Source organism: Homo sapiens, chromosome 19, assembly GCF_000001405.40.
Source record: "Homo sapiens chromosome 19, GRCh38.p14 Primary Assembly".
In the NCBI taxonomy this organism is placed as follows: Eukaryota; Metazoa; Chordata; class Mammalia; order Primates; family Hominidae; genus Homo; species Homo sapiens.
Window position 1 is genome coordinate 46,180,983 of NC_000019.10, and position 24,911 is coordinate 46,205,893.

The following is a 24,911-nucleotide window of genomic DNA, read 5'->3' on the forward strand; positions in this document are numbered from 1 at the left end:
CAGATGTGAATCTCCTCTGGCAATGCCCTCTCAGACACACCTAGCAACAATATTTTGCATTCTTGTATTCAATCAAGTTGATACTTAATATTTGCCATCCCAACATTGAAACCTCCTTTGCAGAATTATAAGTAAGGAGAGAAATCAAACATGACTGACTCCATCTTGCTTCCAGCCTCACTGCTACATTTGGTTGTGTGTTGTGTGTTTTCTGTTTTATTTATTTATTTATTTATTTATTTCTTATTCCAGCACAGAGACCAAGATAACTATGAGAGGAATTTAACTTATAGTTCAACTTGCAGACAAGGGAAACTGACCCTCCTTCTTGTCCAGAGATTGAAGCCACATTCATAAGGTGAGTTTAAAATTATGGAAGGGGACTTGAATTTTGCTAAAGAATAGGCGTGGTCAAACAATGACCTGCCATCACTTAACTTGTTTTTCTATAAGTTGCTTCCTGCCCCAGAGTCACATAACAGGGGGTTGCAAGATTTATAACTTCCCCAACTACCTCTGTAGATCACATCACTATTGTGAAACCTAAAGCACTGATCTTTGAGAGAGTTTTCAGATTTAGCACTTCGGCAGACCCAGGGCTGCCGCCTGGTCCTGACACTCCCTCCCAGGAACTGACTCAGCTGCGTAAAGACAGCTTTAGACGTCCCTGTGATGTCATCAACTGTTTCAGTTTCCCAGCTCCCTGCCTGTCAAAGGATCCTTAAAAAGCCCTGGCCCCCAAATTCTTGGAGAGACGGGTTTGAGGAGTTTCTCTCTGTTTTCCTTGCTTGGCTAGCCATGAAATAACAAAAGTCTTTGCAACAATACTGGTTGTTCTCAGTATATTTGGCTCTCTGGGCAGTGGGCAAGGTGAACTTGTAGGATTGTTACAACCTGATTACCTTCCCAGTACCTCTCCTTTCTCCCTCCAGATCTGGTCTCCAGTCAGACATCATTTTCTTTCATTAGGAAGAACTTTCTTTTTAGCATCTCCTATAATACATGTTCACTGGCAACAATTTCCCTGAACTTTTGTGTGCATAAAAATATACTCATTTTATATCATTATTTTTGAATGGTATTTTCAGTGGATAAAGAATTCTGGACCAGGCGCAGTGGCTCACACCTGTAATCCCAACACTTTGAGAGGCCGAGGTGGGCAGATCACAAGGTCAGGAGTTCGAGATGAGCCTGGCCAACATAGTGAAACCCCGTCTCTACTAAAAATACAAAAATTAGCCGGGCTTGGTGGTGCATGCCTGTAGTCCCAGCTACCAGGAAGCCTGTGGCAGGAGAATTGCTTGAACCTGGAAGGCAGAGGTTGTGGTGAGCCAAGATCGCACCACTGCACTCCAGCCTGGGCAACAGAGAAAGACTTTGCCTAAAAAAAAAAAAAAAAAAAAAAAAATTCTGGATGCCCAGAACATTTTTTCTCTCACAATTTGCTTGTGTTTTTTTAGTGCATTCTTAATTACTGTTTATATTGAGATCTTAACATAATTTCTATTTGCTAAAAGAAAACTTGAGCCAAGTACAAGAAAAAACTTATAATGTCACAGGCATAGCTTAAGTCCTTTTTTGTTAGCTGAGTTGATTGAGGCATAATGTACATACAGTAAACTCCATCCGTTCCGTGCACTGAACTTGTTGTGTGAGTTGGAGATTGGATCCTTTCTTTCTCGATGCACGTGTCAGCCACGGTGTTGCATGTGTCAGATCGTCCCTTTTCATTGCCGAGCAGGACTTTGCTGATGACTGTACTGCCGTTAGTTTCTCCATCCACCTGCTGAAGGACATTGGGTCAGTGTGGCCCTGCCTTTCCCTGCCTCCTCTCCCTACACTCCTGCCCTCTGTCTTGTGGTTTCTCCCCATCTCTCCTGCCTCTCTCTGTCATCTCTCTTGTCTCTCCTCACATTCTCTAGTCTCTCCTCACCTCACCCCTTTCTCCCTTTCTCCTCATACTCTTCTCAATGCTTCCCACTTCTCCCCATCTCTCCCAGACTGTATTACTCCATTCTCACACTGCTATAAAGCTACTGCCTGAGATTGGGTAATTTATAAACAAAAGAGATTAATTGACTCACAGTTCCATGTGGCTGGGGAGGCCTCGGGAAACTCGACTTCAATTATCATGGTGGAAAGCAAAGGGGGAAGCAAAGGCATGTCGTACATGGCAGCAGGAGAGCAAGACGGGGGACGTGCCACATTTTTAAACCATCAGATCTCATGAGAATTCACTCACTATCATGAGAACAGCATGAAGGAACCACCCCCATCATCCAATCACCTCCCACCAGGTCCTTCTCCTGACATGTAGGATTACAATTCGAGATGAGATTTGAGTGGGGACACAGAGCCAAAGCATATCACAGACTCTCCCAGTTTCCATTCTCTCTCCCTCTTTCTCCAGCCTTCTCTCCCTCTCTCATTTCTTCCCTCCCAGCCACTCTTTCTTCTCTCTCCCAGGCTGGGCCTCAGCCTACCCCTCCCAGTCTCTCCTGATTCCTCTTCTGTCTCCCAGTCTCTCCCCTACTCTGTCTCTCCTTTCTGCAGACTTTTTTTTTTTTTTTTTAGATGGAGTCTCACTCTGTCACCCAGGCTGCAGTACAATGGGGTGATCTCTGCTCACTGCAACCTCCACCTCCTGGGTTCAAGCAATTCTCCTGTCTCAGCCTTCCGAGTAGCTGGGATTACAGGTGCCTGACACCATGCCTGGCTAATTTTTGTATTTTTAGTAGAGATGAAGTTTCATGATGTTGGCCAGGCTGGTCTTGAACTCCTGACCTCAGATGATCTGCCTGCCTCGGCCTTCCAAAGTGCTGGGATTACAAGCATGAGCCACCACGCCCAGCCTTGCAGACTCTTGTCACAGGTTTCTCCTTGTCTTTCGCTTCTCTACTAATTCCTCAGTCCCATCACTCCCATGCTTCTCTAATTTCTCCAGCCTTCTAGGTTTTCAGCATTTTTTCCCCTTCTAGTTGCATCGGTTTTTGCCCCCAAAATTGGTTATTTCCTTTTTGAGTTCCTATTTGATTTAAGGGATATCTGTCAGCATATTTCTTAACTTTCCAGTGATGATGGAGATCACGTTTTCTCATTATTTAATTCTAATTTTATTGGACACACTTCTAATTTTGTTCTGGTAAGGTTTTCATTGCATTCAACACATGTATAATTTTGCTTGTGGGTCATAATCAACCACAAAATGCATGGTGTCTACTTGGGTAGTTCAAAATTATATGTGCCTCTCTCTTTCTTTCAATGTCACTGCTTTCCTTTTTCTTTTTTTTTTCTTTTTTAATTATACTTTAAGTTCTGAGGTACATGTGCAGAATGTGCAGGTTTGTTACATAAGTATACATGTGCCATGGTGGTTTCCTGCACCCATCAACCCGTCATCTACATTAGGTATTTCTCCTAATGCTATCCCTCCCCCAGTCCCCCACCCCCGACAGGCTCCGGTGTGTGATGTTCCCCTCCTTGTGTTCATGTGTTGTCATTGTTCAACTCCCACTTATGAGTGAGAACATGCAGTGTTTAGTTTTCTGTTCTTCTGTTAGTTTGCTGAGAATGATGGTTTCCAGCTTCATCCATGTCCCTGCAAAGCCTTTTTTTATGGCTACATAGTATTCCATGGTATGTATGTGCCACATTTTCTTTATCCAGTCCATCACTGATGGGCATTTGGGTTGGTTCCAAGTCTTTGCTATTGTGAACAGTGCCACAATAAACATACATGTGCATGTGTGTTTATAGTAGAATGATTTATAATCCTTTGGGTATATACCCAGTAATGGGATTGCTGGGTCAAATAGTATTTCTAGTTCTAGATCCTTGAGGAATCGCCACATTGTCTTCCACAATGGGTGAACTAATTTATACTCCCACCAACAGTGTAAAAGCATTCCTATTTCTCCACATCTTCTGTTGTTTCCTGACTTTTTAATGATTGCCGTTCTAGCTGGCGTCAGATGGTATCTCATTGTGGTTTTGATTTGCATTTCTCTGATGACTAGTGATGATGAGCATTTTTCCATGTGTCTGTTGGCTGCATAAATGTCTTCTTTTGAGAAGTGTCTGTACATGTCCTTTGCCTACTTTTTGATGGGGTTTTTGGTTTTTTTTCTTGTAAATTTGTTTAAGTTCTTTGTAGATTCTGGATATTAGCTCTTTGTCAGATGGATAGATTGCAAAATTTTTCTCCCACTCTGTAGGTTGTCTGTTCACTCTGCTGATAGTTTCTTCCTTTTTTCTACCCCCCTCCCTCTCAGTTCCTCTCTTCTTCTCTGGGCAGCTGCTCCTCTCTCTGCCTGCCAGCTCAGTTTCCTTGTGTCTACTACCCTTCCTTAGGGTGGGCCATGCCTCCAGTCCAGCCTGGGGAAGGGCCACTGTGGGTGCTCAGAATCAGAGACATGGGGAGGAGGCAATGATGGGGAGATTTAGGCACCCGCCTTCACTCCTGCTCCCTTAGAAAATCCAGATAGCAGCTGCCAAGTCAAGGAACCTGGGCTCTTCCCTCTACTGGATAAAGGTGGGGGCTCTAGAGTGGTGTGGGAGTCTAGCAGTCACACAGCGTGGTCAGAGCCAATACTGGGCACCTCTCTTTCTAAAAGTTGGATGTGAGGAGACCTGGTCCTTAATTTCTTCTGAAGAGAAGCCTGTTTATTCCTAGAGCTTTGAAAATACCGGACCTGGTTAATACACCCAGTCTATACAGTGAGCTTGGATCATTGAGGTCGTTTTATTATTATTGTTGTTATTATTACTGATGTTTATTGTTGTTATAACCTTGACTAAAGTTTATCCATGAAATGGGTTTGATTTACTGAAGTTGTCGACAGAGGGTCCCCTACACACACCTCGCACCCCGGCCTCCCAAGGTCATGTACATGCCAGGCAGGCAGTCCTATGAGCCCCGGGAAATTTTTAAGACTCCCTCTGAAGGAAGGGACAGATCAGTGATGGCCTGAGAGGGCTATGGTGGGCGTCATCGGCCCGGCCTCCGTCCCATCTGGTGCTGGGTAGTCTTTATGAGACTCTAGGAAAATTTCCTAATCGTTCTCCAGGTCTCGGGAACCTCCTGTTCCAGCCAGGAAGTCTCGAGGTGAGTGTGTCCTTTGCTTGGCAGGGCCCAGTGATCACAGGAGGCTCGCCCCAAATTTCCCCAAGACTCCCTACTGGGGCCGGGCTGATTGCGTGCCGGCAGCCCTGGGTGAAGAAACTCCGTCCAAGGGGCACCAGGAAACGGCCGTGGATCAGGCCGCAGGCAGGGCACCCCCGCCGACCTGAAGACCCAGATCAGACCTGGTGCCGTCCATGCCACTTGTCGGGCGCCACCTGGCAGTCACTTTTAGAGGGTTTTCTCTGGCGCTCCGGAGAATTTTGGATGGGATATTACCCAGCTGCGGTGTCCACAGAAGCGTTCCAGGACCCTGGCAGCGGTGGCAGGCTCTTATCGGTGTTGACCCCATGCTATTGTGGAATAAATTCCTTGACCTTGTTCCTGCAGGGAAAGAGTGCTATGGCCTGGATATGGTCCCACATGGAGGCTGCTTATCAGATTCACTGTCCACAAGTTTATCAAAGCCCAGCTGATAAAATGAACATCACATCCCGTTTCTCCTAGTCACTTGTCCTCCTTCCCCAGGAAACCTCTATCCAGTTGATAGTCTGGCCTTCCAGAAGATATTACAAGAAGGAAGGCTTTTCAGCACAGCATAGATTTGATGGCTGCAGGGACAGATATGGGGTGTTAATTAGCAAATTAGGCGTCTCTTTTCTACCCTTCCCTAAAGTGTACAATTGAAAAACACTGAAGTCCGCTGCTACGTGTCAGGCATTGTTTAGGGGCACAGGGAGTCCCTGGCTAACAGGAAAGACAAGATGCCTGCTCTCTTAACGAGCCTGCTCTTCAGTGTGAAAGAAAAAAATAACCTAAGTTTATTTAAGCTTTGCTCTCAGATCACACGATTATAAAACAGGAGGAACCTGGTAGATAGTGTAAAGTATTTCACAGTGGGGAGACATTAGAAAGGGGGGTTTCCTAAGGATGAGCACTTGCTTATAGGGAGACCAGACCTGGCTTTTCTTTAGCACTTGAAAGATGTCAGACCTGCTGGTGGTTGGACCCAGTCGATGCTGCTGGTATGTGCTACCTGATCAGAGATGGTGAGCATTAACCCGTTTAAACCTGAGGTTGTGCTGCTGGTGTGTGCTACCTGATCAGAGATGGTGAGCATTAACCCGTTTAAACCTGAGGTTGTGCTGCTGGTGTGTGCTACCTGATCAGAGATGGTGAGCATTTACCCATTTATACCTGAGGTTGTGCTGCTGGTGTGTGCTACCTGATCAGAGACGGTGAGCATTAACCCGTTTAAACCTGAGGTTGTGCTGCTGGTGTGTGCTACCTGATCAGAGACGGTGAGCATTAACCCATTTAAACCTGAGATTGTGCTGCTGGTGTGTGCTACCTGATCAGAGACGGTAAGCATTAACCCGTTTAAACCTGAGGTTGTGCTGCTGGTGTGTGCTACCTGATCAGAGATGGTGAGCATTAACCCGTTTAAACCTGAGGTTGTGCTGCTGGTGTGTGCTACCTGATCAGAGATGGTGAGCATTAACCCGTTTAAACCTGAGGTTGTGCTGCTGGTGTGTGCTACCTGATCAGAGATGGTGAGCATTAACCCGTTTAAGCCTGAGGTTGTGCTGCTGGTGTGTGCTACCTGATCAGAGACGGTGAGCATTAACCCATTTATACCTGAGGTTGTGCTGCTGGTGCTACCTGATCAGAGATGGTGAGCATTAACCCGTTTAAACCTGAGGTTGTGCTGCTGGTGTGTGCTACGTGCTACCTGATCAGAGATGGTGAGCATTAACCCGTTTAAACCTGAGGTTGTGCTGCTGGTGTGTGCTACCTGATCAGAGACGGTGAGCATTAACCCATTTATACCTGAGATCGTGTTGCTGGTGTGTGCTACTTGATCAGAGACGGTGAGCATTAACCCATTTGTATCTGAGGTTACAGTTTTTAAATTTGAAAAATCGGACCTTGGTGATGACCTTGAGCAATAGGATATAAATAATTCCCACATTCTTAGCATTCCAATAATGGAACACTAGGCATAAATGGGGTTAATGCTTTCTTGAATAATTTATGAGAGTCTCCAAAAGTTCCAGTTTCACCCTCCCCCAATACCTATTTCTCCCTATCTTTACCTGTTCCAGATCGGTCCTTGGTCCAGCCCCCAGAAAGGCAGGTAACCCCAGGGCATCTTGTGCATGTCAGGGTTAGTGGGGGGCCCAGTGTGTGTACTGTAGACACCCATTTATTTGTTTTGTGGTGGAGCAGTTCATCATGAATCTTGCTGTTTGCACATGATCAGCTAAGTGAAAGGTCCATCCCCAGCCACCGTGACGCTCATTCCTGTGACCGCCCCCCCCACTCTCCTCTATATTGCCTTTGTGATTATAATTTGTGTGGACCAACTCCCATGCAGGATAATTTTGGACTATCAACATAAAGCAGCACAGCCTTGATAATGGGTGATCAGAAGCTCAGTGTGTTCCTCTCTCTATACTGAGGCTTACAATAGACCTCCTGGGTCTTTGTGAACCCATAGTGTTCCCCGTGGGTTCTGTGTTCCATGACCAATGGTTTTCAGATGCTCAGTGTCCTTCCTGGTTGTTGGGGACCCATACCCAGCTGGCCCCTATGGCCATCTGACAGCACTTCAGATGTATGGCTGGTGGGAGGCACCTCACTCCTTGTTTGTCCTCTGATGCCCACATATTTCCTACCCTTGCCTGACAGCTCATTTGCCTCCCAGCATATGGCCAGAGGCACACCTTTAGCAACTCGGACAGAGCCCCCATTCATCCTGGGGCAGGTGGCCAGCTCTTTGTGGGAGCATGGCAGGCAACTGCGAAGTCTTCCACAGTGGGATAGAGAGTCCTGGGATGTAGGGACCAGCCCTACAGGGTCTGTGGGTTTTTCTCCCCATGTGCGGAGACGAGAGATCATAGAAATAAAGACACAAGACCAAGAGATAAAAGAAAAAACAGCTGGGCCCGGGGAACCACTACCACCAAGACACAGTGACCAGTAGTGGCCCCGAATGCCAGGCTGCGCTGTTATTTATTGGATACAAGACAAGGGGGCAGGGTGAGCAGTGTGAGCCATCTCCAATGATAGGTAAGGTCATGTGGGTCATGTATCCACTGGACAGGCGGCCCTTCCCTGTTTGGCAGCTGAGGTGGAGAGAAAGGAGACAGCTTATGCCTTTATTTTTGCATTTCAGAGACTTTTAGTACTTTCACTAATTCTGCTACTACCTAGAAGGCAGAGCCAGGTGTACAGGATGGAACATGTAAGCGGACCAGGAGCGTGACTGCTCTGAAGCACAGCATCACAGGGAGACAGGCCTCTGGATAACTGCGGGCAGGCCTGACGGATGTCAGGCCCTCCACAAGAGGTGGTGGAGCAGAGTCTTCTCTAACTCCCCCGGGGAAAGGGACACTCCTTTTCCCAGTCTGCTAAGTAGTGGGTGCTTTTCCTGGGCACTGACGCTACCGCTAGACCAAAGTCGGCTAGGTAACGGGCATCTTCCCGGGCACTGGCATTAACGCTAGACTAAGGAGCCCTCTAGTGGCCCTGTCGGGGCATAATAGAAGGCTCACACTCTTGTCTTCTGGTCATTTCTCACTGTGTCCGTTCAGCTCCTATCTCTGTATGGCCTGGTTTCTCTTAAGTTATAATTGTAGAGAGAAGATTATTATTATAATGGAATAAAGAGTAATTGCTACAGACTAATGATTAGTAATATTCATATATAATCATATCTACGATCTATATCTAGTATAACTATTCTTATTTTATATGTTTTCTTTATTATACTGGAACAGCTTGTGCCCTCGGTCTCTTGCCTCGGCACCTGGGTGGCTTGCTGCCCACACTGGGAAATGTGTAAGTAACACGTCCTGGGTTGACAGGGTAGAATCTGAGTAATAAATTTGTGAATGAGCCCTTGGGGCTGAAATCAGGAACTCTGCAGGGACCCCAAAGCCCAGAACCCAATATTAAACACGGTGTTATGTGTCAGTTTGCTGGTGCTGCAGAATCAACGACCTCTACATTCAGTGTCATGGAACAACCACATCATGATTGCTCCTGAGTCCATAGGTCATCTCGTGATTCTGTTGATCTGGGCCAGGCTCAGTTGACCTTGATGGGGGGGTTGCTCACATGTCTGTGCTCAGCAGGTAGATAGACTGGATTCTGGTTCATCTACAAAGAACTCATTCACCTGTCCTCAGTTGTCTGGAAATAGGCTTTTCTGGGATGTCCTCAGCTGGGACATCAGGGCTCTGTCTCCTCCATGTGGTCTCTCACCCTCCAACAGGCTGGCCAGAGGGTGTTCACATTGCTTTAATTTCCTGAGAAAGTGGAAGTACCAGAGTCCTTGAGCAAAGTCTTAACTCAAAACTGGCACATGATCGATCACTCCACAGTGTCCTATAGACCACAAATTCCACAGGGTGCAGACAGTCAAGGGAATGGGGACATGGATACCAAATCTTAATAGACGTAAAGTCATATTTTGCAAGTGTGTGAATGAGGAAGGAGAGATAATCAGGACTGTATCTGCAGCCTACCACAGACCCTCCCAGCCCTCTTTGCCAAGGCTGAGGATATTTATCACGCCCCCTGGTAATCCCCCAACCCTCTCCTGTGGGGCAAAGAGCCTTGCATCATTCCTTCCCCCATGGGGGGTGGGGGTTGACTTTGAAGAGACCAAAAATGCATGTGGCTTTAGGGTATTCTGCAAAATCACGGACCTGGATCTTTTTACCATCAAAAAGAAAAATTCAGAAAAGACAATCCCTGAGACTCTGGCCCTCGCCCTCAGAAGAAGGGTTGACTATTCGGGAGTCCCGCTGAGTCATCTGTGGTGCTAGGAACACCAGGAATGATTGAGCCTCCAGTCCAAGCTCCATCTCCCCTCAGGCCCCTCAGTATGCACCATCCCCACAATGCCAGCATTTCTCAATGGACTGGACCTCAAAGTGGGGGAGAAGCAGGTATGTTTTTCTGAGGCATGTCAAGAAAGACTTCATTCTAGATATGTTAGAGATATCTCACCTTCCTTTCTAAATTTAACAAAAAAGTTATTAAATATAGAATTAATAAAGGAAAAATCATACTTCTAGTATAATTTCAAGAGCCCACAGAAAACAGATACTACAAAACTCAGCCCAGAAAGGGAAGACGCAGGGCCATAATGGGAGGGAGAGGAGAAAAGAGACTGATTTGGGGTTGGGAGGCCGATGTAGACTCCAGGGTATGCCTCACTGGAAGGAATGCTATTCCTCACTGAATTTTCCCTCCCAGGGCGGGGTGAGGGTCAGATTCAAGTTTGGCCTCAACCTGAGCTGGGCTAAAGAGAAGATCAGGAAGTGAGGATGAGGATGAAGGAAGGTGGACAGGACTAGGTGGTGGTGGGAACAAGTAAACGTTGCCAGAGTGGATAGGTGCATCCTGGGAAAGAAAGCTCTGAGCTCTGAGGTGTGTCTTTATGTCATACTTTGGATTGAGTTCTCAATCTCACCACCTGCAAGGAACAGGGAGGGCAAGAGACATGAGGGCCCTTTTCTCTCTCCTTTTTTTCTCCAAAAGAAAGCATGTTTTTGGAGAGCCGCAGGTCATCACAGACTCAGGGGCCTTGTGAAATTATGCTGGGAAGCAGAAATGAGCAAACCGGCTTCTCATGTTTGTTACTTTGTCTCACAGTGACCACCATAATTTCATTAAATATTAGCTCTCTTCTCCCCCCATCATTTGATTACTCTTTTTGTAAAATATGGGATTTTTACATAGTTTGACTAAAAGTATCTGATTTTCTTTTGTAATCTTATTTACTATTTTATTTGTAATCATTGAATTTTTGATTCATACTTTTCTTCTTGGCATAGCTTGTTTTCCATTATTTTATACATGTGAGAGGTGTTCTTTTAAAACTTCATCAGCACAGCAATAAAGTGAAAACCAAAGCTCCTTTTCCACTCTAAGCCCTTGTCTTTCTCCTTGGAGTGATTCACTGTCCTCTCTGGTGAGAACTCAGGGTTCCAAACGTGCCTAGAAGAGCACACCCACAGGGACACAACAGTGGGCAGCAGGGGCTGGGGTGCAGGTGCCCTGTGGCTAGCGCTCCCAGGTCAAACCCTGACCTTGCCCCACTGACTGTGACTGTGGGTGAGTTATGAAGCCACTCTGTGTTTCAGTTTCCTCATTTGTAAAATGATGATGAAACCCAGACAAGATGAATCAATAATTGTAAAGAGTTATGAAGAATGCTCGATGCTCAAATTACATTAAACATTGTGGAATTGCTTTTCTGAAAATATTTTGTTTGTTATAACTTTACATAAATGCCTCATTCTTTTGCTTTTTTTTTTTTTTGAAATGGAGTCTCGCTCTGTCACCCAGGCTGGAGTGCAGTGGCATGATCTCAGCTCACTGCAACCTCCACCTCCTGGGTTCAAGCAATTCTCCTGCCTCAGCCTCCCAAGTAGCTGGGACTACAGGTGCCCACCACCATGCCGGGCTAACTTTTGTATTTTTAGTAGAGACAGGGGTTTCACCATGTTGACCAGGCTAGTCTCGAACTCCTGATCTTGTGATCCACCCACCTCGGCCTCCCAAAGTTCTGGGATTACAGGTGTGAGCCACTGCACCCGGTCTCTTTTGCTTTTTAAATAGAATTATTTGAAGTATTTTTGAAGAACAAAGCATGGAGTCATCCCAGCCTTTCTAGTGGCTGAGTATTATTGTGGTATAGTAATTCCCTCTTATCTCCACTTTCACTTTGGCGTAGGTTTCAGTTACCCATGATCAACTGTGATCTGAAAATATTAAATGAAAATATCAGAGGCCAGGCATGGTGGCTCATGCCTGTAATCCCAGTACTTTGGGAGGCCAAGGTGGGTGGATCACTTGAGGTCAGGAGTTCGAGACCAGCCTGGAAAACATGGTGAAATCCTATCTCTACTAAAAAATTACAAAAATTAGCCGGGTGCTGTGGCATGTGTCTGTGATCCCAGCTACTTGGGAGGCTGAGGCAGGAGAATCACTTGAACCCGAGAGGTGGAAGTTGCAGTGAGCCAAGATCGTGTCACTGCACTCCAGCCTGGGGGACAGAGCAAGACTCTGTCTCAAAAGAACAAAAACAAAACACAAAACAAAGAAAAAACAGTTCATAAATTTTAAAGTTGCGTGTCACACTGATTGTGAAATGCCGTGTCGTCCCGCTCTGTCCTGCCCCGCTGGTGAGTCATCCTTCGTGCAGCATATTGACACTGTAGATGCTACCGGCTCAGTAGTCTCCAGTAGCTGTCTCAGTTATCAGATCAACTGTCATGCTATTGCAGTGTTTGTGAAAGTTTCTCAAGAGGGCTTTCTTTATCGTAAAATAAAACCTTTATTTTACTTTGTAATGGCCCCAAACTGCAAGAGTAGTGATGCTGGCAATTCAGATATGCCAAACAGAAACTGTAAAGTGCTTCCTTTCAGTAAAAAGATGAAAATTCTCCACTTAATAAGGAAAGAAAAAAAAATGGGCTGAGGTTGCTAAGATCTATGGTAAGAATGAATCTGCTGTACCTGAAATTGAGCAGGAAGAAACAGAAATTTGCACTAGCTTTGTGTCCTACCTCAAACTGCAAAACTTACAGCTGCACTATGTGGTAACTGTTACAATATATTGTAACTGTTCTATTTTATTCTATCTTGGATGTCTCCCTTCGATGTAATGATGCTGCTCTGTCCAGCAGACACCGCTCTCGGGTCTAGGCTGCTATCAGTTCAGGAAGAGATGGGTATTTCTGGTCAGAGTATTACCACAGTGTGTTGGCTCAGCCTCTCTGTTTCCACCAGAGCCCAACAACATGTTAATAGCTCCTTCAGAAAAGGTGCATGATGAGTGGCCATTTCTGGGAGCCTAGAAGTCCAGAAACTTTGCGGTCATCAGACTCTGATGGCTTTTCCTTTTGGTCAGATTCCAGTCTTCCTCATCTCCTAGCACTGAAACTTGTCATTCAAATGGGGAGCTGGGCTCTACGGGACACAGGGGCCTGAGTAACTGCCTGAGGTAGGGCCTGGAGTGCATTGTACTCCCTGGACCCCCACTGGGGGTCCCTGGAAAGCAGCTATGTCTCTGGTTATCTGGTGCAGGGGGACCACCAGAATGCCCAGATGGAGTCTATGTTGTCTTTAATATCCAAAATACCCAGTGAGGCGTTGACTCCACGGTCTGCAAGGGCCTCTCTCTGCCTGGTACCAGATATCAGATGTGGAAAGGCTGTCAATCTCTTTGTTAGAAACCTCCTGTGGTATCAGCCAGGCACCCAGAGGCTGCCTCTGGCACAAGCGCTTGGGTTTAGAGTCTTCTGACTTTGTTTATTTTAACTTTCATCACTCATTGGGTCTGATCCCATTCTGCTGCAGAAAGCAGTAAAGCTTTTCAATGGCTTCACCAGGGACAATGCAAGCAAAAACCAATCAAGGGCCGGACACGGTGGCTCACGCCTGTAATCCCAGCACTTTGGGAGGCCGGGGGAGGTGGGTCACTTGAGATCAGGAATTCAAGACCAGCCTGGACAATATGGTGAAGCCCCATCTCTACTAAAAATGCAAAAATCAGCCAGACGTGGTCACGGGCACCTGCAATCCCAGCTACTAGGAAGGCTGAGGCAGGAGAATCACTTGAACCCCGGGAAGCAGAGATTGCAGTGAGCTGAGATTGTGCCACTGCACTCCAGCCTGGGTGACAGAACAAGACCCAGGCTTCCTCATTTTATATATATATATATATATATATTTTTTTTTTTTTTTTTTTTTTTTTTTTGGTAGTGTTTTTTGTTTTGAGACAGGGTCTTGCTATTTTGGCCAAGCTGGTTTCCAACTCCTGGCCTCAAGTGATCCTCCTGCTTTGGCCTCCAAAGGGGTTGGGATTACAGGGATGAGCCACTGCATCTGACCAAGACTTTTTTTTTTTTTTGATACTGAGTCTCTCTCTGTTCCAGAGGCTGGAGTGCAGTGGCATGATCTCAGCTGACTACAACCTCCACCTCCCGGGTTCAAGTTATCCTCCCACCTCACCCTCCCAAGTAGCTGGGACTGCAGGTATGTGCCACCATGCCAAGTTAATTTTTGTATTTTTTGGTAGAGACAGAGTTTTGCCATGTTACCCAGGCTGGTCTCAAACTCTTGACCTCAAGCGATCCTCTCACCTCGGCCTCCCCAAGTGTTGGAATTACAGATGCCACTGTGTCCACCCAGTGGTGCCCTGTTAATTAATGACCCTTGTTATCAATTAAGTTCCCCTTTGTTGTCCTGCCTTGCTTAGATCAGATAACAGAAAAACCATGACTATTACACCCTTTGTAAAAAATGTTAAATGTGCCCTTCTCATAGAGAAACATTGCCTATAAGCAACTTGCTGTAATGATGTGCCAACCTTTTATGAAAAATGTTGTAATCCTGATAAAAACACCTCTGTCTTTGCTTATATACACGCAAAGACAGAGGAGTCTAAATGTATGTATTTATTTAGAGACAGGGTCTCACTCCATTTTCTGGACAGGAGTAAAATCCACTCCACTTGCACCCCCAGGGCCGGGCAGGTGACGCTTTGGCCCCTACCTGGGAGACACTAGAGCTCACACTGTGGGCACCTCTGGAGCTGACTGGGGAGATTCTCCTGAATCCTCGGCTCCCGCTGGGTCTGGACACCCTGTGGCTTCCCGATCACAGGATGGCTTCACACCTCTTCCGCTGTCCTGGGCCCTTGCACTGATTCACATCTAGAAGGGGACCAGGTCATGGAGCAACCCTCAGTCCGTGTCTCGACTCTAGACTCACAGGGTCAGCTGTAACATTGTGGCTGTGTGAGTGTGGGAGGGTGAGGACGACCCCAGGAGTGTCCTGCAATTTCCTATTTGCCAAAGAAGCCTCCATTCTGGAGGAGAGAGGGACCGAGGGTGGAGGGAGCATCGGTCCTCTCCTGGCTCTCAAAGGACCTGGCATCAAATCCACCATGACACATACCCTGTCTGGGACCTGTCTCGCTCCAGGGCCCAGCATGTCTCTGCAGGAAGGCAGGGCATCCCACGATATCACCAGCTCCTCTAGGAGTATAGGAGCCAAGGAGCTGCTGAGACCTGCTGATCACCCACTCACTCCCCTCCAGCCACCCCAGAGCCATGGCTCCCGAGGCCACATCTTGGGTAAGGAGGACAGGACCCCATTCCCACCCGAGCCCATCTCCCATCTCAGCCACCACCGAGGCTCACTCCCCACCCCAAACTACACCTCATCCCTGTCCCCATGCCTGGCCTCCTCCTCAGACATGGCTCCATCACAGCAATTCCCCATCCACAGCCCCTGGGTCAGCCCCATCCACAGCTGTTTCAGTCCCCAAACTACTCCCCAAACTTATGCCTAGCCCTGGTTCCAGTCCCACCCAGTCTTTTTCTAAATGTCAGTGCCAGCCACACCCATAGCACAACGCTAGTCTCGGCTCAGCCCCTTCCCTGCCCGACCCCAGCTGAGCCTCCAGCTCTGAACTCCTCCAACACCAGGAAACAACCACATTGCCCTGAACCCTAGGCCCATTTCTTCTGAGAGTCCTGCCTGCACTCCCTGGCCTTGCCCAGGACCCTTGAGCACAGGGAGACTGTGCCTGACCTCAGATCACCTTCTAGCCCTTCCTCGAGCTCCAGTCAGGACAGAGACCCCCTTGGACCCAGTGCTGCCGCAGGCTGGGGTCCCAAAGATGGCTCGTGGCCTCCTCCAGAGCCCTCCTCTTCTTCCTTCTCCCACAGCTGTCTTGGCGTCTCTCTGCATCCTCAGCCTTCTCTGATCATGTGGAGCCCCCAGGTGAGCCCAGGAAGGGCTGGGAATCTGGGGGAGGGGTGTGGCTCCCAGGAGATCCCAGGCTGGGACCCACCTGCCCTTCCACCTGGACCTCACCAGCTCTGTCTCCTCCAGTGGCCCCCATGGGTGCTTATCTGATGCTGTGCCAGCCACAGGCAAGATGTGGGGACACGTTCTGTGACCCTCTGCAGCACTGCTACTATGACAATGCCATCCTGCCCTCGGATGGGACCCAGAGGGGTGGAACTGCACCTTCAGAGTCTGCTTCGAGAAGTGCTGCCCCTGGTCCCTCAGTCCCCCAGCGTCCCTCATGGTGAAGATGAAAGGCCAGAAGTGCTCCTTGACCCTGACCTCAGATAACAGGCTTTGTCACAGGTGAGGTCCTGTCTCCTCCATGAGATTGTGGGTCCTGGGGGGCTGCATGCCTGTTCTGCCCTGAGTAGAGCCCCCATTCTCTGTGTCTGTCCTCCTGCCTCTAGTCAATCCACCTCCCCCTTTCCCTACAGTTGTATTTCTTCCTCCCTTCGTTTTTATTTTCCTCTCACAACCTCACTCTCTCAACATTGCTGGCCTCTCCTCCTGGCTCTCCTGTCCTCCTTTCTGCACTGTTCAGTCTCTCCCCCATCTCTGGCCTGCTCAGTGTCTCTGTCTTCAGTGTCAGCTCAGACTGGAGGGCAGTGGCTCAATCACAGCTCACTGCAGCCTCAACCTCCCAGACTCAAGCGATCCTCACACCTCAGCCTTTAGAGTAGCTGGGACCACAGGTGTGCACCACTGTGCCCAGCTAATTTTTGTATTTTTTGGACAGACGGGGTTTCAGCATGTTGTTCAGGCTGGTCTTAAACTCTTGGGTTCAAACGATCCTCCCTCCTCATCCTCCCAAAGTCCTGGGATTAAAGGTGTGAGTCACTGTGCCTGGCCAGGACAGGAGCCCTGGACTGGCCCTGGCTGCCCTCCTCCCATCACAGATGGGGTTTTGTCATGTTGCCCAGGCTTGTCTTGAACTCCTGAGCTTAAGTGACCTGCCTGCATTGGCCTCCCAAAGTGCTGGGATACAAGTGTGAGCAACCACACCTGGCCCCTCCCCTCCCCCTCCCTCCCTCCCTCCCTCCCTCCCTTCCTTCCTTCCTTCCTGCCTTCCTTCCTTCCTTTCCTTCCTTCCTTCCTTCCTTCCTTTCTTTTTCCTTTCTTTCCCCCCTTCCTCCCTTCTTTTTTGTTTTTCAGGGTCTCACTCTGTTGCCCAGGCTGGAGTGCAGTGGTCTGATCATAGCTAATTGCAGCCTGGAACTCTTGAGCTCAAGCAATCCTCCTGCCACAGCCTCCCAAGTAGTTGGGACCACAGGTGTGTGCCACCATGCCCAGCAATTAAAAAAATTTTTTTTTTGTAAAGACTGGATTTTGCCATGTTGTCCAGGCTGGTCTGGGATTCCTGGCCTCAAGCAATTCTTCCTCCTCGGCCTCCCTAAGTGCTGGGATTACAGGCATGAGCCACCATACCTGGCCACTTCTTCATTCTTGTTGGCTTTGCGTCCCTGGAAAAAAAAATAAATTCTGCCTCGGTATGTGGCTTACCAGAGTCATGAACGAAGGTTTCACTACAAGGCAGTTTCATATATAGAAATGAAACCATAAGTTTCTGGGTGCTGGCTCCAATTTTTGGAGTTGGTGTTTCTGGGTGGGCTATCCTCAACATTCGTGCTGGAATAAACTCTCTTTAAATTAGATTCTGACCATTTTGATCACCAGGTTGACACCATCCAGTCTTTGGTCACCAAAGCCCCTTTGCAAGGAGAGAGAGATCAGCCCCTTCAATTCTGATAACTATGCTCGGAGAAAATGAGTGACACAGCTTCCTCATCAGCCAGCAAAGAGAGGTGTTTAGGCTGGAGAGCTTCCGTCCCTCCTGTACACACATGCAATGCCACCCCATCCCTGCCTATCCCCTGGGAGGGGCTCCTTGAGGCCAGATGGAACTAACACCACAAAGATGCCAGGTGGAAGAGTCATTCTATTTATTCCTGGACAAAAGAGCAAGTGAAGAGAGAGCCTTTGAGAGTGGGAAATGTCAAGGCCCCCACGGTTTCACATTCCAGGAGCCCAGCTCTGCCAGCCCCACCGAGGAACCCTGGGAATGTCAGATTTGGGTCTCATCCAGGGATATCTGTGACCAAGGCCTGCCTCCCCTTCCCAGAGGGGCTGGGCCAGCAGAGGCAGGGTAGGGCAGCAGTTGGAGGCCTGTGGACTGGAGTTCAGGAGACCTGGGCTCTGGTCCAGCCTGTGTCTGTGACCAGCAGTGGGTCCTCGGACCGTGTCTTGCTTGGATTAGAAAGTGAGATGGGAGAATTAAACAAATGTCTGTCTGAGGTCAGGATCTTGCCCTTACTTGTCAGAAAAACAACCTCCTTTCACCGTGGGTAGAGGTAGAGTTCCAACCCCTGAGGATCAGTTCCACCAAGGCAGAGCTGGGCTCCAGTGCCGAAGACAGACCTGTCCCCAGACAATGGATTGGATAGGGTTGGGGACTCCACGGGGCTGGCGGAGGCATTGGACAGCTCTGTGTGCAAAGGCTTTTTTGACACCTGGAGAAGGGGCAGAGACAGGAGCACTGGACTAGCCCTGGCCACCCTCCCCGCTTCCCAGCCTCTGAGAGCCCCCTGCGCTGTCATGATCTCCCTCCACTGTCTCACCCCAGGCCTGACTCAGCCACCCTGAGAGATCAGGCTCAGGCCAAGGAGGGTCAGCTAGACTCCTCTCTCCTCGGGACACAATCCTAATCCTGACCCAAGAAACCTGCTTTCTCCCACCAGCGTCTAGGCCTCTACCTGCCTCGAGCCATCCCAGGAAATGCCTGGAACCATGGTTTGAGAGATGAAGCCCGTTATTGGGAGATGTGTTGGGACATCTAAGTCAGCAGCACTTAGGCAAGAAGGAAGCCAGGCCATGCCTGCACCCTTCTTCATTCCTTTTTAAATTTTTTTTTTAATTGAGACGGAGTCTCGCTCTGTAGCCAGGCTGGAGTGCAGTGGCACGATCTCGGCTCACTGCAACCTCTGACTCCCTGGTTCAAGCGATTCTCCTGCCTCAGCCTCCCGAGTAGCTGGGATTACAAGCACACGCCACCACGCCTGGCTAATTTTTGTATTTTTAGTAGAGATGGGGTTTCACCATCCTGACCTTGTGATCTGTCCACCTCGGCCTCCCAAAGTGCTGGGATTACAGGTGTGAGCCACCGCACCTGCCCTAATTTTTTTTAATTTTTATTTTATTTTATTTTTTGAGACAAGATCTCGTTCTGTCACCCAGGCTGCAGTGCAGTGGTGTGATCTCAGCTCACTGAAACTTCCACTTCTCAGGCTCAGGAAATTCTCCTGCCTCAGCCCCTGAGTAGCTGGGTCTACAGGCCCATGACATTATGCCCGGCTAATTCTAATTTCTGTATTTTTTGTAGATATGGGGTTTTGTCATGTTACCCAGGCTGGTCTTGAACTCCTGAGCTTAGGTGACCCACCTGAGTTGGCCTGTCAAAGTGCTGGGATTACAGGTGTGAGCCACCACACCTGGCCCTTTTCTTTTCTTTTCTTTTCTTTTCTTTTCTTTTCTCTTTTCTTTTCTTTTCTTTCTTTCGTTCAGGGTCTCACTCTGTTGCCCAGGCTGGAGTGCAGTGGTCTTATCATGACTAATTTCAACCTGGAACTCTTGAGCTCAAGCGTTCCTCCTGCTACAGCCTCCCAAATAGCTGAGACCACAGGTGTGTGCCACCATGCCCAGCTTTTAAAAAAAAAAAAACTTTTGTAAAGACTGGATTTTGCCATGTTGCCCAGGTTGGTCTTGAACTCCTGGCCTCAAGCAATTCTTCCTCATCAGCCTCCCTAAGTGCTGAGATTACAGGCAGGAGCCACCATACCTGACCACTTCATTCTTGTTGGTTTTGCTTCGCTGGAAAAAATATAAATTCTCCCTCAATATGTGACTTACCACAGTCATGAAGGAAGATTTCACTATAAGGCAGTTCATAAAAATCTGTGCAGTGTACACTAACCCATTTTTGTGTCTGTTTCTTGAATTAAAAAAATAATATCTATGACATACTCAAGCAGTTATACCACCCAATAAAATGTTGCCACCCTTAGTATGGAGGACACTACTCTTTCCTGAACTGCAAATGGAGAAGCCAGGGGAGCAGAGAGCAATGGAGAAGGAGAACACGCTGTCCCCTCTCCACAAGGGAGGAGGAAGACTGCAGGCCCCTCGTGATTGCACCATTACCCAGCTCCAGACTCAACCCTCCTCTCCACCCTCCTCACAAGAGAGATACAGGGATGTTCTACAACCATAAATCTGGTCACTTCCATCCCCTGCTTAGGCCTGGGCCATGGTCAGTGCCCTCAGGATAGACTGGAGTTCTCCAAGGGCCCATAAAAATGCCCCAGCCTTGCTGCCCACTCCAGTCTCCTCTTCCTGCCTTGCATTCTGGCCTCTGGGTTCAGCTTTGTCGAAACAGGCACAGTTCTCATTCATTCTTGAAATAGTAGCTCAAATGTCTTCTTCTCCTAGAAGACATCGCTGGCCTTCCAGGCTGGGTGAGGCAACCACTGTGGGCTCCCAAGCCTTTACGCGTCCCCAACCCAGCCCTGACTCTCTGAGTCATCAAGGCCTGAGGACAATCTGTGTTCCCAGTGATGGCACATGGCCCGCTATTATGTCTCTGCTGTGTCCTCTGCAGCACGTCGGGGTAAGGATGATTAGGTTTTAATGGGATAGTAACGGGCGTGTGATTGGTTGCCAGGGAGGGAGTAAAAGTGTCCCATACTTGTGGGTTAAGGTTGGGGGATACAAGAGGAAGACGTGAAGGAGGCTTTAGGTTGGGGAGAAGGGCGGCACTGAGATGTGGCTGTAGTCCAGGAATAGTCAGGGTAGTGGATAATTTTGTTAAGATGTAAAGGATCATTAACCTTGACTCTGCCTTCAGCTCCAGCCACCTCTCTAAGAGGAAATTGTTGGGCAGGTTGGGGAGGGCTAGTCACGGAACAAAACTGTAAGCTGGACCGGTTGTGAGTGGGGGAGGCGATAGAAGGATTATAGGGTGGGAGAGTGGAAGCTGAGGAAGAACTGGGACCTCGCTTGGCCTGGTGAGGAGCAGTGTGGGGAGGAGGGGAGAGGTCGGATGAGTTCACAGAAAAAGAAGATTTAAAGGACTCAGAGCTTGGGGTGGAGACTGAAGGAACAGACAGGAGAGAAAGAAGAAAGATCTGGAATGAGTCACATTGGGAGCAGAGACTAGGGAGGAACTGATGTGTAAAAGGATGCCTGGACATCAGGCACCTCAGACCATTTGCCCATTTTTTGACAAAATTATCTAGATCTTGTAGGATGGGGAAATCGAAAGTGCCATTTTCTGGCCATTTAGAACAATTGTTAAGTTTGTATTGGGGTCAAATGCTGTTGCAGAAGAAAATAAGATGCTTAGGTTTTGGGTCAGGTGAGAGTTGAAGAGGTTTTAAGTTTTTTAGAACACAGGCTAAGGGAGAAGAAGGAGGAATGGAGGGTGGAAGGTTGCCCATAGTAAAAAGGTAAGTTTAGAGAAAAGAGAGGGTAGAGACATGGAGAGGGGGGTTGGTACTTGCCATCCAGGGGAGGTGGTACTTGCCACCAAGGTGAAGGATCAAGGCAGGCGTCCCTGCAGTGGTCAGACACCTCTGGAATGTGGGTGAATAATCAGACATGCATCCCCACAGTGATTAGACACCAAGGGAAGACTGTCTTCCCGAGTCTGTGACCAGCAGCAGAATTTTGAGTTCATGGACAAAACGTGTCTCCTCTGTCTCTACCAGAAACGGAAAGGAACCAAAATTAAGGGAGGGAGAGATTAAAGAGTGGAGGGATATCTAGCAAGAGAGGTTGGAGAAGAGAATGAAAAGAGGCTACTTACCCGATTTAAAATTGGTGAGAAGTTCCTTCGGCTGGGCTGAGGACCCGAGGTCATGGGTGGATCTCATGGAGAGAGGGCGAGGACAGGGGACCGGTCTCCCAAAGGAGTCCTCCTGTCTCAGGTCTTCGGCACCAAATGTCACATGAGTCCATATGAAGAGAGTCCACCAACAGGCTTTGTGTGAGCAACAAGACTGTTTATTTTACTTGGGTGCAACTGGGCTGAATCTGAAAAGAGAGTCAGCAAAGGGAGATAGGGGTACAGCAGTTTTATAGGATTTGGGTAGGTAGTGGAAAATTACAGTTAAAGGTGGTTATCTCTTGTGGGCAGGGATGGGGATCACAAGGTGCAGGGTGGGGAGATCATGAGACTCATTGTCTAGGGGAGGAATGTCACAAGGTTGATGGATTAGTTGGGGTGGGGCAGGAGCAAATCACAATGATGGAATGTCATCTTTTGTGGTTCTTCAGTTGCTCCAGGCCCTCTAGATGTATACGTGCAGGTCACAGGGGTTATGATGGCTTAGCTTGGGCTCAGAGGCCTGACACCAGAGAGTTGGCCAACACCCCGGTACAGTTGGCCAGCTGCACTAGAGCTGCTTTGTTCTCCTGATTTGAATTTCAGTGGTTTCTTACAGTTTTTGCTGCTGCTGTAGAGCATTTAAGCAGGAAGGGATCCAGTTCAGCCATCCAGGGACTGGCACCCAAGTTCTTGTTGCAGGTAGCAGGGACCAGCTTGCAAGCTTGAAGTGTGCAGATGGAACACAGAGCACTCCAGCCACCCAGGCAGATATCAGAGGATGGGCCCTCAGGCACTGGTGAGGCCCAGTCCTCTCCCTCAGTGACATCTGCATTCCTAGCATTCTGGGTTTTTTTGTTTTTGTTTTTGTTTTTGTTTGAGAGAGTCTCACTCTGTTGCCCAGGCTGGAGTGCAGTGGTGCAATCTCGACTCACTGTAACCTCTGCCTTCCAGGTTCAAGCAATTCTGCTATCTCAGCCTCCCGAGTAGCTGGGATTACAGGTGCATGCCACCACACCCAGCTAATTTTTGTATTTTTAGTAGAGACAGGGTTTCACTTTGTTGGTCAGGCTGGTCTCAAACTCCTGACCTCAGGTGATCCACCCGTCTCGGCCTCCCAAAGTGCTAGGATTACAGGCATGAGTCTCCGATCCCAGCCCTAACATTATTTTTGAACATCTGAAATTTCACCAGATTCCTGTCTGTCACCTGGGAGAGGCTCCCTGAGGCCAGGTGGAAATCATACCCGGATGCCACCAGAATGATGATTCAGCCCTTTCCGTGCTTGTTCCAGAGGGGAAGCCCATGAAAGGAGGACAGCCAGTGCTCTCCTGTGTGCCACGTTCCAGAAGCTCAGGTCTCCCACCAGCAGCTGGGGTTGTGGGAAAGTCTTCCCTGAGGCCAGCCCCCGGGTGCCTGGGATCAGGGCCTGCTTGCCTTTCTGGACGAGCTGGGCCTGGGACTGGGGGGGGTTGCTGGGCTGAGACAGGGGTACCTGGGTCCAGTCTAGATGGTGTCTGTGACCTGCAGGGGCCCCTCATGCCAGGGTGCTCTTTACATAGAGGGAATAGGGTGAGAAAATATGACCAACAGATGTTGGAGTTTACTGTTATTTCCCAGGAAGCCATGAGAATCCTGTGACCCTGGAAAGAGACAGGGTTCCCAATAACTAGGGACATGGCAGTGAGTGATGCAGCCCTGCTCCCTGTCCTCAAACAGCTCTAGGTCCACTGTCCCTAAACAGTGACAACACAGAGTGGGCAGCTTTGGGATGTGGAATGCACAGGCGGCTGCTTCGGGAATTTTGATATGGGGTTTTAGCAGCTCCTGCTGCTTGCTGGGAAAAATCCCTCAGGGAATTGTAATGGACTTCAGGAGAAATGACACACAGGTGCTCGTGTATATGAAATAAGTTGTTGTTTTGTTTTTTGTTTGTTTTTGAGACAGTCTCACTCTGTCGCGCAGGCTGGAGTGCAGTGGCACGATCTCGGCTCACTGCAACCTCTGCCTCCCGGATTCAAGCGCTTCTCCTGCCTCAGCCTCCCAAGTAGCTGGGATTACAGGTACCTGCCACCACACTCAGGTATTTTTTTTTTTTTTTGTAGTTTTAGTATAGACGGGATTTTGCCATGTTGGCCATGCTGTTCTCAAACTCCTGACCTCAGGTGATCCACCTGCCTTGGCCTCCCAAAGTGCTGGGATTACAGGCGTGAGCCACCGTGCCCAGCATGAAATAAATTTTATAACCTGAATAGGACCCGGTAATATAGGAGTTAAGAAGAAATTATTTTAGGCAGATAGTGAAGGTAAGAAAGTCCTTGGTAAGGTTTTTCTTTTAATGAAAAGCACCCTCCAAATCATATACTTTTCCAACAAACAGCAGCCATTAAAATCAAGCCACAGACATAGAAAGGCAGGCTAGAAGCTTCCACAGGTGAATGCCAGCATTTGTGCCAATAGGAAAAGGCTACCTGGGACTAGGCATTTTCAAAATGGCAGCTCCATCTTCCCTTTTCCTTTCCAACCACATGCACAGTAGAAAGCAGATAACATGGCATCCACCAAGTGGAAAGTCCATTTGCATAATAAGATTAGGGTGGGGTGGTCAGCTTCTTCCAGCACTATGTAAATGTCACAGCTGATCCAACCAATCTGTGGGCCCTATGGAAATCAGATACCACCTCTTCAAACCCGTCTATAAAATCCAGTGCACTCTGCTGTAGGCTGGAAGTCCCATTCAGGTGCTGAGAGAGAGAGAGAGAGCTGTTCTTCTTTCTCTCTCTTTTGCCTATTAAACCCCTGCTCCTAAACCCACTTCTTGTGTCCATGTACTCGATTTTCTTGGTTTGAGACAATGAACCTTGTGTATTTACCCCAGATGATGACGCCACATTACCAGTGTCAGCACTCCCCAAGAAGAAGGATTGAGGCTTGGTCCAGTGTGAAGCAAGTGGGCCGTTAAACACGTGGCTTTGGCTAGTTTTTGAGCATGGGGCTATGGTGAGGGTTGCTGCCTGTGGGCTGGGGCTTGAGTGG

At 48.4% G+C, this 24,911-nt stretch overlaps 1 protein-coding gene, 1 long non-coding RNA gene and 1 pseudogene across 16 annotated transcripts in view, besides 1 other annotated feature; 2 read left to right on the forward strand and 1 right to left on the reverse strand.

The window, feature by feature from the left end:
• The window catches only part of IGFL2 (IGF like family member 2), a 136,850-nt gene that overhangs the window by 102,470 nt on the left and 9,469 nt on the right, over positions 1-24,911 (forward strand). For 5 of the 15 annotated variants that reach the window (XR_007066612.1, XR_007066609.1, XR_007066614.1 and 2 more), the window contains exons 2-8: positions 253-358; positions 15,127-15,279; positions 15,877-15,931; positions 16,043-16,303; positions 20,486-22,674; positions 23,070-23,232; positions 23,823-23,938. The gene's annotated coding sequence lies outside the window, so the exon portion shown is untranslated. Of the gene's footprint in view, positions 1-252; positions 359-14,076; positions 14,177-15,126; positions 15,280-15,756; positions 15,843-15,876; positions 15,932-16,042; positions 16,304-16,407; positions 16,666-17,152; positions 17,271-20,482; positions 22,675-23,069; positions 23,233-23,822; positions 23,939-24,911 lie in introns of those variants that run through there. The other 10 variants (XR_007066613.1, XR_002958269.2, XR_007066608.1 and 7 more) reach the window with 9 other exon arrangements.
• Positions 8,047-22,080, reverse strand: IGFL2-AS1 (IGFL2 antisense RNA 1). Its single transcript, NR_135234.1, has 3 exons — positions 21,858-22,080; positions 17,426-17,460; positions 8,047-9,432 (listed from the first exon to the last, which is right to left on the reverse strand). It is a non-coding gene; the product is annotated as an IGFL2 antisense RNA 1 (long non-coding RNA).
• Positions 9,050-9,344: an enhancer, noted in NCBI's record as "tiled region #10795; HepG2 Activating DNase matched - State 8:EnhW". NCBI's record gives its function as "activates a minimal TATA promoter and a strong SV40 promoter by Sharpr-MPRA in HepG2 cells {active_cell/tissue: HepG2}" and the evidence as "EXISTENCE:reporter gene assay evidence [ECO:0000049][PMID:27701403]".
• Positions 16,039-16,298, forward strand: IGFL1P1 (IGF like family member 1 pseudogene 1; annotated as a pseudogene).